This window comes from Homo sapiens, chromosome 2 (genome assembly GCF_000001405.40).
Source record: "Homo sapiens chromosome 2, GRCh38.p14 Primary Assembly".
NCBI lineage: Eukaryota > Metazoa > Chordata > Mammalia > Primates > Hominidae > Homo > Homo sapiens.
The window spans coordinates 31,808,961-31,824,190 of NC_000002.12; the positions used below are offsets into that span (position 1 = coordinate 31,808,961).

The 15,230-nt window shown below is 41.5% G+C and overlaps 2 pseudogenes, besides 2 other annotated features; both read right to left on the minus strand.

Annotated features, from left to right (window-relative positions):
- Window positions 3,277–3,356: a silencer, noted in NCBI's record as "silent region_11331". NCBI's record gives its function as "represses an Ori minimal core promoter by ATAC-STARR-seq in GM12878 lymphoblastoid cells {active_cell/tissue: GM12878}" and the evidence as "EXISTENCE:reporter gene assay evidence [ECO:0000049][PMID:35858748]".
- Window positions 11,406–11,907: an enhancer, noted in NCBI's record as "NANOG hESC enhancer chr2:32045435-32045936 (GRCh37/hg19 assembly coordinates)". NCBI's record gives its function as "activates a minimal SCP1, AML or CMV promoter by ChIP-STARR-seq in naive H9 embryonic stem cells {active_cell/tissue: H9 hESC(naive)}" and the evidence as "EXISTENCE:reporter gene assay evidence [ECO:0000049][PMID:30033119]".
- On the minus strand, window positions 13,576–14,476 carry KRT18P52 (keratin 18 pseudogene 52; annotated as a pseudogene).
- AK2P2 (adenylate kinase 2 pseudogene 2) lies at window positions 14,527–14,870 on the minus strand (annotated as a pseudogene).

Consider the following 15,230-nt stretch of genomic DNA (forward strand, 5'->3'; position numbering starts at 1 on the left):
ATCTTTGGCTTGGGTATCAGGATAATACTGGCCTCAGAGGATGGGCAAGGAAGTGTTTTTTTTTTCATTTACTTTCAGGAACAGTTTGTGAATTGACTTCTAACAGGTCTGATATTAAGATTAGAATCCTCATTTGGCTTATGTTTGAATTGCCTGGTATGCTTTTGCACATTCTTTTATTTCTAACCATTTTGAAACCATTTATTTTAAAAGTGTTTGTTGGCGGGGCGTGGTGGCTTATGCCCATAATCCCAGTACATTGAGAGGCCAAGGTAGGCAGATTACTTGAGGCCAGGAGTTTGAGACCAGCCTGGCCAACAAGGCAAAACCCCATCTCTACTAATAATACAAAAATTAGGTTGGGCGTGGTGGCTCACGCCTGTAATCCCAACATTTTGGGAGGCCCAGGCAGGCAGATCACTAGAGCCCAGAAGTTCAAGACCAGCCTGGCCAACATGGCAAAACCCCATCTCTACTAAAAATACAAAAGTTATTGTACTTTTTTTTTTTGTATTGTACTGGGCCTGGTGGCACAAGCCTGTAGTCCCAGCAACTCGGGAGGCTGAGGCAGGAGAATCACCTGATCCCAGGAGGTGAGGTTGCAGTGAGCCAAGACTGCGCCACTGTACTCCAGCCTGGACGACAGAGCGAGACTGTCTCAAAAAATAAAAAATAAATAAATAAATAAATAAATAAAAGTGTTTCTTATAAGAATACAATTAGGTTTTGTTTTGTGATCCCAAATAATAATTTTTTGTTAATGGTTAAGTAAAGGTTTAAAGCTATTTTGAGCAACTTGCACATCAACTCAATTTTGAACATTCACATTTGGCTTAGATTTTCCATATAACATTGGATGTAACATAAAACACTGATTTCAGGAAAGAGGACAAAGATGAGCTCTTAGTGAACCATACATGCCTTTCTGCCATGAACCTGATTATGCCACACAAATATGGAAATGGCCCTAGTGAAAACGGGCTGAGAAAACTTGCATAAAGAGTTGAACAAACTGTTGAGCTAAGTAGGAACAAAATAGGTGAAAGGGAAGAGTAGGCACATTTATATTTGTGGCAATCCTCCTATATGTCAGATGCTTCACCTCATGGACTCATTTAATGCTGCCAATAATCTTCCTAGGCAGTCATCACTGTCCCTGTTTTACAGATGAGAAAATTAAGGTTTAGATAATTTTCTGATACTCAAAGTGTGGTCCTAGACCCCCCCAGCATCAGCATTATCTGAGAACTTGTTAGAAATACAGAATCTCAGGCCTCACCCTGGACCTCCTGAATTAGAATCTGCATTCAACAAGATCCCCATGTTATTTGTATGTACAATAAATTTTAAGAATTACGAATGCATTTCCAAAGGCCACAAATATAAATAGAACCTGACTCCAAAGCCTATGTTGTTTGTTCTGCAGCTGCTACAGAATCAAGTTACTTGACAGTCACAGATTAAACCCACAGCTAAAGTTAGCCAACTAGAGGGGTTTGTGTTGTCATATTGGGCCTCAGTGTTCTCATCTGTTCAATGTTTTAAACATCTAAAAGAATAAATAAATTCTAAGACAATAAAAGTATGCCATGTTGAATACTGCTTGAAATTAAAAAGCCACCTTAAGCCCCAAATGTTTTGTTAGATAAGATTTGTATCTGTTGCAGTGAGTTCTAAGATTATTTCTGGGTGAGGCTAACAGTTTATACTCACTGTCTGTCCATGCACGCTTCTACATCCATTCAGACTAGCAAGAGAATACCGTTGCACCAATTGCTAAACTTAAATGTGAATAACAGAGGAGAGTCTCTCGTATAATGTTACAGTAACTCTTCTAGTCCTGGGACCAGACCTTTACATTTGAATGAAAGTTCAAACAGATTCAATTAACACTGAGTTCAAATTCTGAACGAAAGTTCAATTCTTAAAAAATCTGGCTGGGTGCAGTGGCTCACACCTGTAATCCTAGCACTTTGGGAGGCTGAGACGGGCAGATTGCCTGAGCTCAGGAGTTCAAGACGAACCTGGCCAACATGGTGAAACCCCATCTCTACTAAAATGCAAAAAAAAGAAAAAAACAGCCAGGCATGGTGGCAGGCGCCTGTAATCCCAGCTACCCAGGAGCCTGAGGCATGAGAATTGCTTGAACCCAGGAGGCAGAGGTTGCAGTGAGCCGAGATCGTGCCACTGCACTCCAGCCTGGGCAACAAAGTAAAACTGTTTCCAAAAAAAAAAAAAAAAATCCAATTGTCCTTCTTTTTACCCCATCTTCCAGACTATTCCCCATTAATTTTTATTTTTCAATTTTAGAAGAAATATCATTTATGTTTGTTTTGGTTTTGGTTTCAAAAAAGTTGATGCACTTTTGATCTAGCCCTGGTGCTCAGAGATGAGCCAGCTTGTTCTGCTCTGTAGGCTTAAAAGAGCTTTTTAAATAGCAAAACAATAAAATAATTCAGTTATCATAACTTTTCCCAAAAAGACCTTCTAACTTGAGAAGACCGGATCTTCTGTCTCATAGAACACTGAATACTGTACTCTTCTTGCTTCCTTCAAAATCTTAGAACCAAAGACCTCGTCAGAATACCGTTCATAGATAATTAATGCAGCTCCAGTTGTTTAATTGCAAGACTTGGCCTTGATTTTTGGTTATTTAATTCTCTCAGTAAAATGTAGCTGTTTTTAAAGCACCAGTTTTATGAGCACATGCTGTACTCATTGATGCTATGGAGTCCTTTGCATCTTTTCCCAGCTGGCAAAGTTTTTATAATGACATCTTAGGGATGAGACCATTAGAGAAAGAGAACCCATCTCGGGATTTACTGGGCAAATTAATCCTTTAAATTAGTACTTGCCCCAGGCCAGGATACCTCTCCTGTGGGGCTGTGGCATTAAGGGGGAAGAAGGTAAATACAATTGAGAGAGAAAATATTTAATAGCTTTCAAGTAAAACATATCTGGGCTTCAATAGTACTATCACTATGTTGCTTTGCACAAGTCCTAATAGCTATTAAAGTCTCAATTTTCTCATCTGTAAAATGAGATCTTGCAGGGCCATTGTAAGAATTAAGTGGGTTAATGGATATAAAGCATTTGGCCTACAGCAAGCTTGTAACATAATTTAAATCCCCCTGGAAAAAGAAAACCTGAAGTTTAAAGACAGAATCAGAACTGAAAGCAAGAACAGAAGCACTTCCTCTTAGAATCAGACATCCGGACCACACTCCTTGCCCTGACAGAGCGTAGGACATCTAGAAGGTTAGAGGAGAAGTCTGACTGTCATGGGGAGGAAGTTTGCCTAAACCAAGGCTGGTGCCCTCTCTAAAGCAGTTCAAAAGAATTTGAAAACACCAGCTCTGAGCACCCCACATAGCTTGTCAACTCACCCCATGTTATCTCAGTCATGATGACTCAACACTAGAGCCTGGCTTGGCCAGAGCACTGAGGCTACAGCCTTCTGTAAACAAGACCAAGGACACAGGACAGCAAGAAAGAAGACAGACAGGTCACTCTCCTGGCTACTTCTATCCAAACCTGTATATCAAAAGAAGAGAACTTCTCTCATTCACACTGCAGGAGAGGGTACAGGAGCAGAAGGAGTAAAGAGGAGATGGGACTTGGCTTAAGCACTGAAACAAATTGTGTGTCTGCACCCTAAACTGTCAACCCTGGCTATTCTTCAAGGTAAAGAAGAGGGCCCTAAATAATCATTTATGAATCATGTGGTCCAGGCACTCTCCCAGAGATCACTTCTCTCACTCCTCACCACATCTCTATTGGTAAAATATTATACTCCCTCTTTTAGTGAGGAGCAGAGGCTCTGAGAGACTATCAAGCTGTCCAAAGTTAAACAACTGAATCAGAACAGAAATTAGAACACAGGTCTTTCTGACATCTTACAAAACCAGTTAACATAGAATTCTGTATTTGGTATATAGAGTGTTTTCATTTTTGTGAGTTTGGGTTTTTGTTTGGTCAGTTATATTCAGGGGGTTCTTATTCTCCCCTAAATACTATTAAGTCATAGATATAAAATCCAACCCACTTCTTTTTAAAGACTTTGGATAAAACGCTGAGATGGGAGAGATCCCTTGACCCCTTCCTGGGACTTGCAACACTGGTGTGGCTCATTTTACTCAGCTACCACCCTCGAACCCCTTGTGGAAAGGGGAGCACACAGGTGAGCAGGTGCAAGAGCCAGGGCAAGTGCCTTTGGCCACCAGCCAGCCCACAGCAGCATCTAGGAGTTGCCCGCGACCTCTGGAGCCCCAGAAAGCATGTGTTACAAACAATGCTCTTTTAGCTTTCCCATCCACGGATGGCTTAAGTGCTGAACAGCTCAGTGAAGAGTCAGTGTGACAGCCTTTTTGGGTCCCCACACCCAATGCATCTCGAATTCTTGTCTGGCATCCAGGAAGAATCAGGTCATACGAACGGATCAAAGGATGGTGTATGCAGAAGATTTTATTGAGCAATGGAAGTGGCTCTCAGCAGGATGGGGAGCTAGAAAGTGGATGGAGTAGGAAGATAGTCTTCACCTTCCCCTTGCGGGAGGGGGAGCACACAGGTGAGCAGGCGCAGGAGCCAGGGTGCCTCCCAACCATCCCCAACTGAACTCCTCTCAACGTTCAGATGCTTCTTCTCAACGTTCAGATGCTTCTTCTCTTCTCTCCTCCTCTGCCATGCCACTCTGCTCCTCTGCCAGTGGAGCTTGGGCCTTTTATGAGTACAGAATGGGGGGCTTGGTGGGCCAGGGTCATTTTGGAAAAGGCAACATTTGGGCAGGAAAACAGGAATGCATGTTTTCATTTAGGGCCATGGGTCCAGGCCTGAGGATGAAGCCCTCTCCAGGGACCCCACCTTCTTCTACCCAGTATTTCCCTGCCTCCTGTCCATATCAATACTTTAATTAGCCTTAATGTTAAATCTGTTCTGAAGTCTTCAGATTTCAATAATCATTTCTTTATTACCATAATTAATGTAAATAATTCAAGAAAGTGGAAATTCTAACCCTATTGGGCTTTTCCCACAAGTGCCTGGTGCTTATCTGAAATAATGAACTAATTTCTCCTTGCTGCATCCATATATGAATCCAAAAACTGAGCAGTCCTTAGAAATGATCATTAGGCCTTCTCAGGTAGGCAGCAGGAAAAGCTGAAAGAATCTCAAAGGATCTGCAGCCAGGACATCCATTTAAAGAGGTAATATATGCTTCTATATAATTTATTATTTCTAACCTTGTTCCATTAGTTTTCACCACAAAAATTATTTCCAATTTTTCACCCACTTTATGCCAAACAGCAGGGGATGAATTACTACACCTCTTTAAAGGTTCTCAGAATTTCATGCAGTCTGAGTTACGAAAACAGAAAATGCAGGTTTCAAGCCAATAGTGTTTGCTTTGTTGAGTGAACTGAATTATTACATGTAAAAGGAATCCTATTTGCTAAGGATATTACTTTAATGGAGGTTTAGTTTTGAGCTTTTTATTTATTTTATTTTTTTTTTTTTTAGACAGAGTCTCACTCTGTCACCCAGGCTGGAGTGCAGTGGCACAATCTCGGCTCACTGCAACCTCTGCTTCCTGGGTTCAGGCAATTCTCCTGCCTCAGCCTCCTGGGTAGCTTGGGACTACAGGCACGCACCACCACGCCCAGCTAATTTTTGTATTTTTAGTAGAGACAAGGTTTCACCATGTTGGCCAGGATGGTCTCGATCTCTTGACCTCGTGATCCACATGCCTTGGCCTCCAAAAGTGCTGGTATTACAGGCATGAGCCACCATGCTCAGCCATGGTTTTAATTTTTTTTAACAACATATTGCTCCACCAGAAACAAGCACATTAACTAGCTTAGTTCCTGTGGTTGGTTGGTTTATTCTTATTTCACTGGAGATGTTCTCTTTTTTTTTTTTCAATTAAAAAAAACTTTGTGCTTCAAAATTTAAACCCGAAACACAAACTTATCTCACAGGAAGTTTATTCTCAGAAATGTTTTTCTAGGACAAGTATCTGTTTTCCCTTAGTGCCCCCCAACACAGCATATACATGTTAATTACTTAATTTCAGTTTATAATAATTGAAGTTCCGTTAATTTGTGAGATTATACCCAGATCACACACACACTCTAAAAATATTCCTAGTTGTATTCTAGTTTTACTAACTGCCAAAGGTTTTTTGCAATAATCTCAGTCACCCACTGGAGATGTTCTTAAGCCCTGAGAAGACAGATCATCATTCACAGAAATAGACAGCACTGAGCAAAAACACATTGCTGTCCATCCATCTTCATCTTTTAGTAATCAACAAGTGCTTTCAAAATACTATGAGTTAGATAGATCAACATGTTAATTAATCTTCTTAGAATTTGAAATTCATCATCTAGATATTTTCCTATTGTTTGTTGTATTATTCCTGGCAACGGTAACCAACTTTATTTTAATTGGTAGCCAATCATTATAAAATTTTTGATGACTGACTCTATATTTTTGCCAAACAGAGTTGCCCAATGTTTTCCCCCATTAAAACAAACATATAAGTAGTTGAAAGAAAAAGCAAACAAACAATTTACAAGTCAGAAAGCCCTAGAACTGAGGTGGTATGCTGATATGCTCGCAACAAAATGCTTGATCTAATACTTAGGACATAAGCTAGATGCAAGCAACTCAGCACTCAACATAAAAGTTTTGCTAAGATTAATTTGGTTTTAGAAAAGCAAAGCTGACCTAGGCATATTGACTTGAATCCATGGTAGGATTCTGCTAAATACCTCTAGAAGTGTCTGTGATTTGCTATCTGTGTGTAAAAACATATAAACAATCAGGCCAGGCGTGGTGGCTTCTGTCTGTAATCCCAGCAGTTTGGGAGGCCGAGGTGGGCAGATCACCTGAGGTCGGGAGTTCGAGACCACGCTGACCAATATGGAGAAATCCCATCTGTACTAAAAATACAAAATTAGCAAGGCGTGGTAGTTCATGCCTGTAATTTCAGCTACTTGGGAGGCTGAGGCAGGAGAATCCCTTGAACCCAGGAGGTGGAGGTTGCATTGAGCCAAGATCACACCATTGCACTCCAGCCTGGGCATCAAGAGCGAAACTCCATCTAAAAAAGAATATATATACATATATTTTTTATATATTAATATATATATATTATATTTTATAAACAATCAAAGCTTCTTTTAAAACCCTGAATTATTTTTCTTTGTACTTTGATATCTTTGCAAATGAATAAGCCTATTAGCAGAGGGAATTATTTCCGTGGAGAGGCTTAAACACATATGTACGGTTATATGTTATAACATCTCAGTTAACTACAATGGTGGGGGGGAATGGAGTGCTCTAAATAATTGGATTTTATAGTTAAGTTCATTAAAGAAGCTAAATGAAACCCTATAACATGTGACACTAATAATCACCCACTATTTTTAAAACTTTCTTCTTCTTTGGATTCCGTGACATTCCCTTCTACTAATTATTTTCCTATGTGCTGACCATCCTTCTGATTATTTCTCATTTCTCTTACTCTTCAACATCCCCCAAATATTTCCACATTTCTTTCCTCAATAACTGTTCTTTATACCTATTTAATGCAATCAGCCTTTCACACGCCTTCCATTATCAACTCTATGTAAATAGTATCACCAGAACAAATTGCTGTGGTAGAGAGATGAAGGAAGGAAAAAAGCAAAGAGAATGAGCAAGACAGGGAGAGAGGGAAAGGGAGGGACAGCTTACTCCTAAAATATTTTCCCCCAGCTTCTCCCCCAAGTTCCAGACCCACTTTTCCAACCTCAAGGTGAACATTTCCAGTTGAATAACATCTTACTCAAAAGTTGTTGAAACCACATCTTTAAAATAATGTTTTATTGAGCTATGTTTGATATAAAATTAACTGCATATATTTAAATGTAGTTTGATACATTTTGACATATGTATACACCCATGAAATTATAATGAAAATAGTAAACATATGCTCACTGCCCAAAATTTCCTCATGCCTTTTCATAATCCCTTTCTCACTCTTCACCACAGACCCTCCCTTAGTTGACCCTCCCATACCCAAAGAAATTGATTTAATTTTTGTCAATATAGATTTGTTTGCATTTTATAGTTTCACATGAATGAAATCACACAGTATATACTCTTTTTAGATTAGCTTCTTTAACTCATAAAGCATAATTAGATTTGTCCTTGTTGTTGAATGTATCCACGGTGCATTCTTCTTTGTTGTTGAGTAGTATTGCATTGTATACCATGCATTATATGCCGTGCATGGTACACCACAATTTGTTTACCCACTCACCTGTTGATAGAAATTTGGGTTGCTTATAGTTTGGGACTATTGCAAATGAAGCTATATGAACATTAGTGTACAAATCTATATGTGAACATATATTTCTTTTTCTATTGGGTAAATAAATATATTGGAGGACTATTAGATTGTAGGTCTTATTCATTCTTTTTATTTTTTTCATACCCATTAACCATCCCCACCTCCCTCCTTGCCCACTTGCTTCCCTCCAAGCCTCTGGTAACTATCCTATTCTCTATCTCCACGAGTTCAATAGTTTCAATTTTTAAATCCCACAAATAAGTGAGAACATGTGATATTTGTCTTTCTGTGTTTGGTTTATTTCACTTAACATAATGACCTCAAGTTCCATCCATGTTGTTGCAGATGAGAAACTTATTTTTTATTGCTGAATAATACTCCATTGGGCATAAGTACCACATTTTCTTTACTGAAATTCATCTCTTGATGGACACTTAGGTTACTTCCAAATCTTGGCTATTGTGAACGGTGCTGCAACAAACATGGGAGTGCAGGTATCTCTTTGATAGACTGACTCCCATTCTTTTGGGTATGGAACCAGCAGTGGAATTGTTGGATCACATGGTAGCTCTATTTCTGGTTATTTGTGGAACCTCCAAACTGATCTACATAGTGGTTATACTAATTTACATCTCCACCAACAGTGTATGAGGGCTCCCTTTTCTCTACATCCTTGCCAGCATTTGTTATTGCCTGACTATTGGGGAAAAGTCGTATTAACTGGGGCAAGATGATATCTCATGGCAGTTTTGATTCACAAATCTCTGGTGATCAATGACATTGAGCACCTTTTCACATGCCTCTTGCCATTTGTGTGTCTTCTTTTGAGATGGGTCTATTTAAATATATTGTCCTTTTTTTAAATCAAATTATTAGATTTTTTGTACAGTTGTTTGAGCTCCTTATATATTCTGGTTATTAATCCTTTGTCAGATGCGTGGTTTGCAGATATTTTCTCCCATTCTGTGGGTTGTCTCTTCACTTTGTTGATTGTCTCCTTTGCTGTGCAGAAGCTTTTTAACTTGATGTGATCCCATTTCTTCATTTTTGCTTTGGTTGCCTGTATTTGTGGGGTACTACTCAAGCAATTTTTGCCCAGACCAATGTCCTGGAGAGTTTCCCCAATGTTTTCTTGTAGTAGTTTCATGCTTTAAAGACTTAGATTTTTGTCTTTAATCCATTTTGATTGGATTTTTTTACAAGGCAAGAGATAGCAGTCAAGTTTTATTCTTTTGCATATCGATGTCCAGTTTTCCCAGCACCATTTATTGAAGAGACTGTCTGTATTAGCCCATTCTTGCATGGCTATAAAGACACATCTGAGGCTGGGCGCAGTGGCTCATGCCTGTAATCCCAGCATTTCGGGAGGCTGAGGCGGGTGGATCATGAGGTCAGGAGATCAAGACCATCCTGGCCAACATGGTGAAACCCCGTCTCTACTAAAAATACAAAAATTAGCGGGGCATGGTGGTGTGCACCTGTAGTCCCAGCTACTCGGGAGGCTGATGCAGGAGAATCACTTGAATCCAGGAAGCAGAGGTTGCAGTGAGCCAAGATCACACCACTGCACTCCAGCCTGGTGACAGAGCGAGACTCAGTCTCAAAAAAAAAAAAAAAAGAAAGAAAGAAAGGTCAGGCGCGATGGCTCATGCCTGTAATCCCAGCACTTTGGGAGGCCAAGGCATGCACATCAAGAGGTCAGGAGATCGAGACCATCCTGGCTAACACGGTAAAACCCCGTCTCTACTAAAAATACAAAAAATTCGCCGGGTGTGGTGGCATGTGCCTGTAGTCCCAGCTACTTGGGAGGCTGAAGCAGGAGAATGGCATGAACCTGGGAGGCAGAGCTTGCAGTAAGCCAAGATCACGCCACTGCACTCCAGCCTGGGTGACAGAGTGAGACTCCATCTCAAAAAAAAAAAAAAAAAAAAAAAAAAGACACACCTGAGACTGGGCAATTTATAAAGAAAAACTCTGATCATGATCAGCAGGCTGTACAGGAAGCAAGCATGATGCTGGAATCTGCTTGGCTATGGGGGAGACCTCAGGAATCTTACAATCATGGCAGAAGATGAATAGGGAGCAGGCACATCACATGGCCAGAGCAGGAGCAAGATACATACGGCAAGGTGCCACACACTTTTAAACAGCCAGATTTCACATAAAGTCACTCACTATCACCAGAATGGCACCTGAAGGATGGTGCTAAACCATTTATGAGAAATCAGCCCCCATGATCCAATTACTTTCACTAGGCCCCACCTCCAATACGGGGGATTACAATTCACCAAGAAATTTGGACAAGGACACAGATCTAGACTGTATCATTCCACCCTTGACCCCTCTCAAATCTCATCTCTTTCTCACATTTCAAAACACAATCATGCCTTCCCAATAGTCCTCCCAAAGTCTTAGCTCATTCCAGCATTAACTCTGAATTTCAAGTCCAAAGTCTCATCTTATATTCATCTCCTTCCACCTATGAGCCTGTAAAATCAAATCCCAAGGTACAATGGGAGTATGGCATTAGGAATGCTCCAAAAGGGAGAAATCAACCAAAAGAAAGAGACTACAGGTCTCACACAAGTTCAAAACCCAGCAGGACAGTCACTGAATCTTAACGCTCCCAAATAATCTCCTTTGACTCCATGTCCCACATCCAGGTCACAGTGGTTCAGGGAGTGGGTTCCCAAGGCCTTAGGCAGTTCTGCCCCTGTGAATTTGGAGGGTTCAACCCCCACAGCTACTCTCATGAGCTGGCATTAAGTGTCTGTGGGCTTTTCCAGGCACACTGTCAGGGGATCTACCACTATGAGGTCTGTGGGACAGCAGCCCTCTTCTCATTGCTCCACTAAGCAGTGCCCTAGTGGGGACTCTGTGAGGGGTCTCCAACCCCACAATTCCCCTCCACACTGCCCTAGTAGAGGTTCTCCATGAGGGCTCCATCCCTGCGGTAGGCTTCTGCCTAGACACACAGGCTTTTCCATACATCCTCTGAAATCTAGGTGGAGGCTCCTAAGCCTCAACTGTTGCACTCTGTGCACCTGCAGGCTTAACACTACATGGAAGCCACCAAGGCTTATGGCTTGTATCCTCTGAAGCAGCAGCTCAAGCTGTACCTGAGCCCCTTTGAGCCATGGATGGAGCAGAAGTGGCTGGGAGGTGGTGGAGCAGTGTCCTGAGGCTGCGCAGAGTACTGGGGCTTTGGGCCTGGCCCACAAAACCATTCTTTACTCCTAGGCCTCAGGGCCTGTGATGGGAGGGGCTGCCTCAAAGGTCTCTGAAATGCTTTTGAGGCCTTTTCCCCATTGTCTTGGCTATCAGTACTTGACTTCTCTTTCATTATGCAAATCTTTCTAGCATGTGGTTGCTCCACAGCCTGCCTTGCAACTTCTGCCTGTTACCCAGTTCCAAGTCTGCTTCCACATTTTCAGGTGTCTTTATAGCAATGACCCACTCCTAGGTACAAATTTTCTGTATTAGTCAATTTTCACATTGCTATAAAGAAATACCTGAGACTGAGTAATGTATAAAGCAAAAAGGTTTTATTAGCTTATGGTTCTGCATGCTGTACAGGAAGCATGATGCTGGCATCTGCTCAACTTCTAGGAGGGTCTTATGAAACTTACAATCTGTGGCAGAAGGTAGGGAACAGCATGCACATGACATGGGAAGAGCTGGAGCAAGAGAAGGAGAGCAAGGTGCCATACACTTTCAAACAGCCAGATCTCGTGAGAACTCACTATTGTGAGGAAAGCACCAACAGGATGGTGCTAAATCATTCATGAGAAATCCAACCCAGTGTTTCCCCATTCAGTATGATGCTGGCCATGGGTCTTATTTATTTATTGAGGTATATTCCTTCTATACCCAGTTTTTTGAGAGTTTTTATCATGAAGGGATGTTGGACTGTAATGCTTTTTCAGCATCAGTTGAAATGATCATATGGTTTTTGTCCTTCATTCTGTGGATATGACGTATCACATTGATTGATTTGCATGTGTTGAACCATCCTTTCATCCCTGGGATAAATACCACTTGGTCATGATGATTAATCTTTTTAATGTATTGTTGAATTCAGTTTGCCAGTATTTTGTTGAGGATTTTTGCATCAGTATTCATCAGAAAACTTGGCCTGTAGTTTTCCTTTTTTGATGTGTCTTTGTCTGGTTTTGGTAGCAGGATAATACTGGCCTCATAGAATGAGTTTGAGAGTAATCCCTTTTTTCCGTCTTTTGGAACAGTTCGAGTAGAATTGGTATTAGTTCTTCTTTAAATGTTTGGTAGAATTCAGTGTTAAAGCCATTGGGCCCACACTTTTCTTTACTAGGAGACTTTTTTTTTTCTTCAAATTTTATTTTAAGGGTACATGTGCAGGTTTGTTACACAGATAAATGTGTGCCATGGTGGTTTGCTGCACAGATCATTCCATCACCTAGGTAGTAAGCCCAGCGGCCATTAGCTATTCTTCCTGATTCTCCCTCCCCTCAATACCCACCCTCCAACCAACAGGCCCCAGTGTGTGTTGTTTTCCCTTATGTGTCCATGTGGTCTCATTGTTCAGCTCCCACTTATAACTGAGAACGTGTGATGTTTGGTTTTTTGTTCCTGCGTTAGTTTGATGAGGATAATGTCTTTCAACTCCATACATGTTCTGCAAATAACATAATCTTATTCCTTTTTATGGCTGCATAGTATTGCCTGGTGTATCCTTGCCTCATAGAATGAGTTTGGAAGTATTCCCTCCTCCTCTATTTTTCAAAATAGTTTGAGTAGGATTGATATTAGTTCTTTTTCAAATATTTGCTAAAATTCAGCAGTGAAGCCATTGGATTCCAGGCTTTTCTTTGCTGGGAGACTTTTTATTACAGCTTTAATCTTGTTACTTGTTATTGGTCTGTTCAGATTTTAGATTTCTTCATGGTTCAGTTTTGGTGGGTTGTCTGTGTCGAGGAATTTATCCATTTCCTCTAGAATTTCCAATATATGGGCATGTAGTTGCTCATATTAGCCACTAATAATCCTTTGAATTTCTGTGGTATCAGTTGTAATGTCTCCTTTTTCATCTCTGTTTTTATGTATTTGAGTCCTCTCCATTTTTCCCTTACTCTGGCTAAATGTTTGTCAATTTTGTTTATCTTTTGAAAAAAACCAACTTTTTGTTTCATTGGTCTTTTGTATTGTTTTCCTCATTTCAAATTCATTTATTTCTGCTTCAACTTTTTTTATTTATTTTTTTTAACCTCTGAACTTTTTATTGGCTTCGGGCTCCCCAAAGGATACCCTGCTTCTGCTGGCTTAATGCCTCAGAATTTTGGTGTCATTGGTCTCAGACACCACTTTGCCATCCACTATCTGGCGGGTCTATCTGGCGGGTGGTGGTCTTTTGGATGGTTTGCATGGAGTTGCTGCAGTCCAGGGTATCACCAAGATTGAAGTCCTTGCCATCTTCCAGCAGGCGGCGGTAGGTGGCGATCGCAGCCTCCAGCTTGACCTTGATGTTCAGCAGGGCCTGGTACTCCTGGGCCTGGCACTGTCCCTCTGCCCAGGTTTGTGCCAGCTCTGACTCCAGGTGTAGCAGGATCCCATTGAGCTGCTCCATCTGCAGGGCATAGCGGGCCACTACCTCCCTCAGGCTGTTCTCCAAACTGGCCTTCAGATTTCTCATGGAGTCTAGGTTGATCTCCAAGAACTGGACTGTACGTGTCAGCTCTGTGAGCATCGCCTTAGCAGCTCCAACCTCGGTGGACTGTGTGGTGACCACTGTGGTGCTCTCCTCAATCTGCTGAGACCTGTTATTGTCCAGCTCCTCTCTGTTCTTCTGAGCCACCTCGTCATATTGGGCCCAGATGTCTGCCATGATCTTGGCGAAGTCCTGAGATATGGGGGCATCTACCACCACAGTCAACCCAGAGCTGGCAATCTGGGCTTGTAGGCCTTTTACTTCCTCTTCATGGTTCTTCTTCATAAGAGCAGCTCCTCCTTGAAAGCCTGGATCTCTGTCTCCAGCTGCAGCTGAGTGACATTGGTGTCATCAATGACCTCGCAGAGCCCATGGATGTCGTTCTCTACTGGCTGGCACATGGCCAGCTCTGTCTCACAGTTGACTCTAAAATCATCAGCAGAGAGTCTGGGATGCTGAATTCAATCACAGAATCAAGCTTCTTTTTCCTCTTCTCCATGAGGTCATCGAGCATTTCTGCCTGCCTCACAGTCCGAGGGAAGCCATCCAGAAGAAAAACATTTTTGCACAAGGGGGGTCTCCAAATTCTTCTCAATGAGCTCCACTACCATTTCATCACTCACCAGTTTCCCAGCATCCATAGTTGCGTTCAGCTTTTTTTCTAGCTCTGAGCCAGAAGCCACCATGGCCCTCAGCCTGTCCCCAGTAGCCGAATGGCAGACACAGAAGTTTTCAGCCAATATGGGTGCCTGGGTGCCTTTACCGTCCCCGGGAGGCCCCAGCAGCACGGCCTGGATGCCTTTAGGATACTCGGGTTCTGCCGCTGGCACGCTGGGAGCCATGTCCGCTGAAGTCCTTGTATAGTTTTACAAAGTTCCTCTCGTTATTCTTAGTTTTATTTCATTGTGGTCAGAGAAGATTCTTGATATTATTTCAATTTTTTTTAATGTTTTGTTTTGTAACCTAACATATCGCCTGTCCTTCAGAATGATTTATGTGCTGAGGAGAAGAATGTGTATTCTGCAGCCATTGGATGAAATGTTCCGTAAATATCTATTAGATCCATTTGTTCCATAGTGTAGATTAAGTCCAAATTTTCTCTGTTAATTTTCTATCTGGGAGATCTGTCCAATGCTGAAAGTGAGGTGTTGAAGTCTCTGGATATTATTGTATTGAGATCTCCCTCTTTAGCTCTATTAATTAATATTTGCTTTA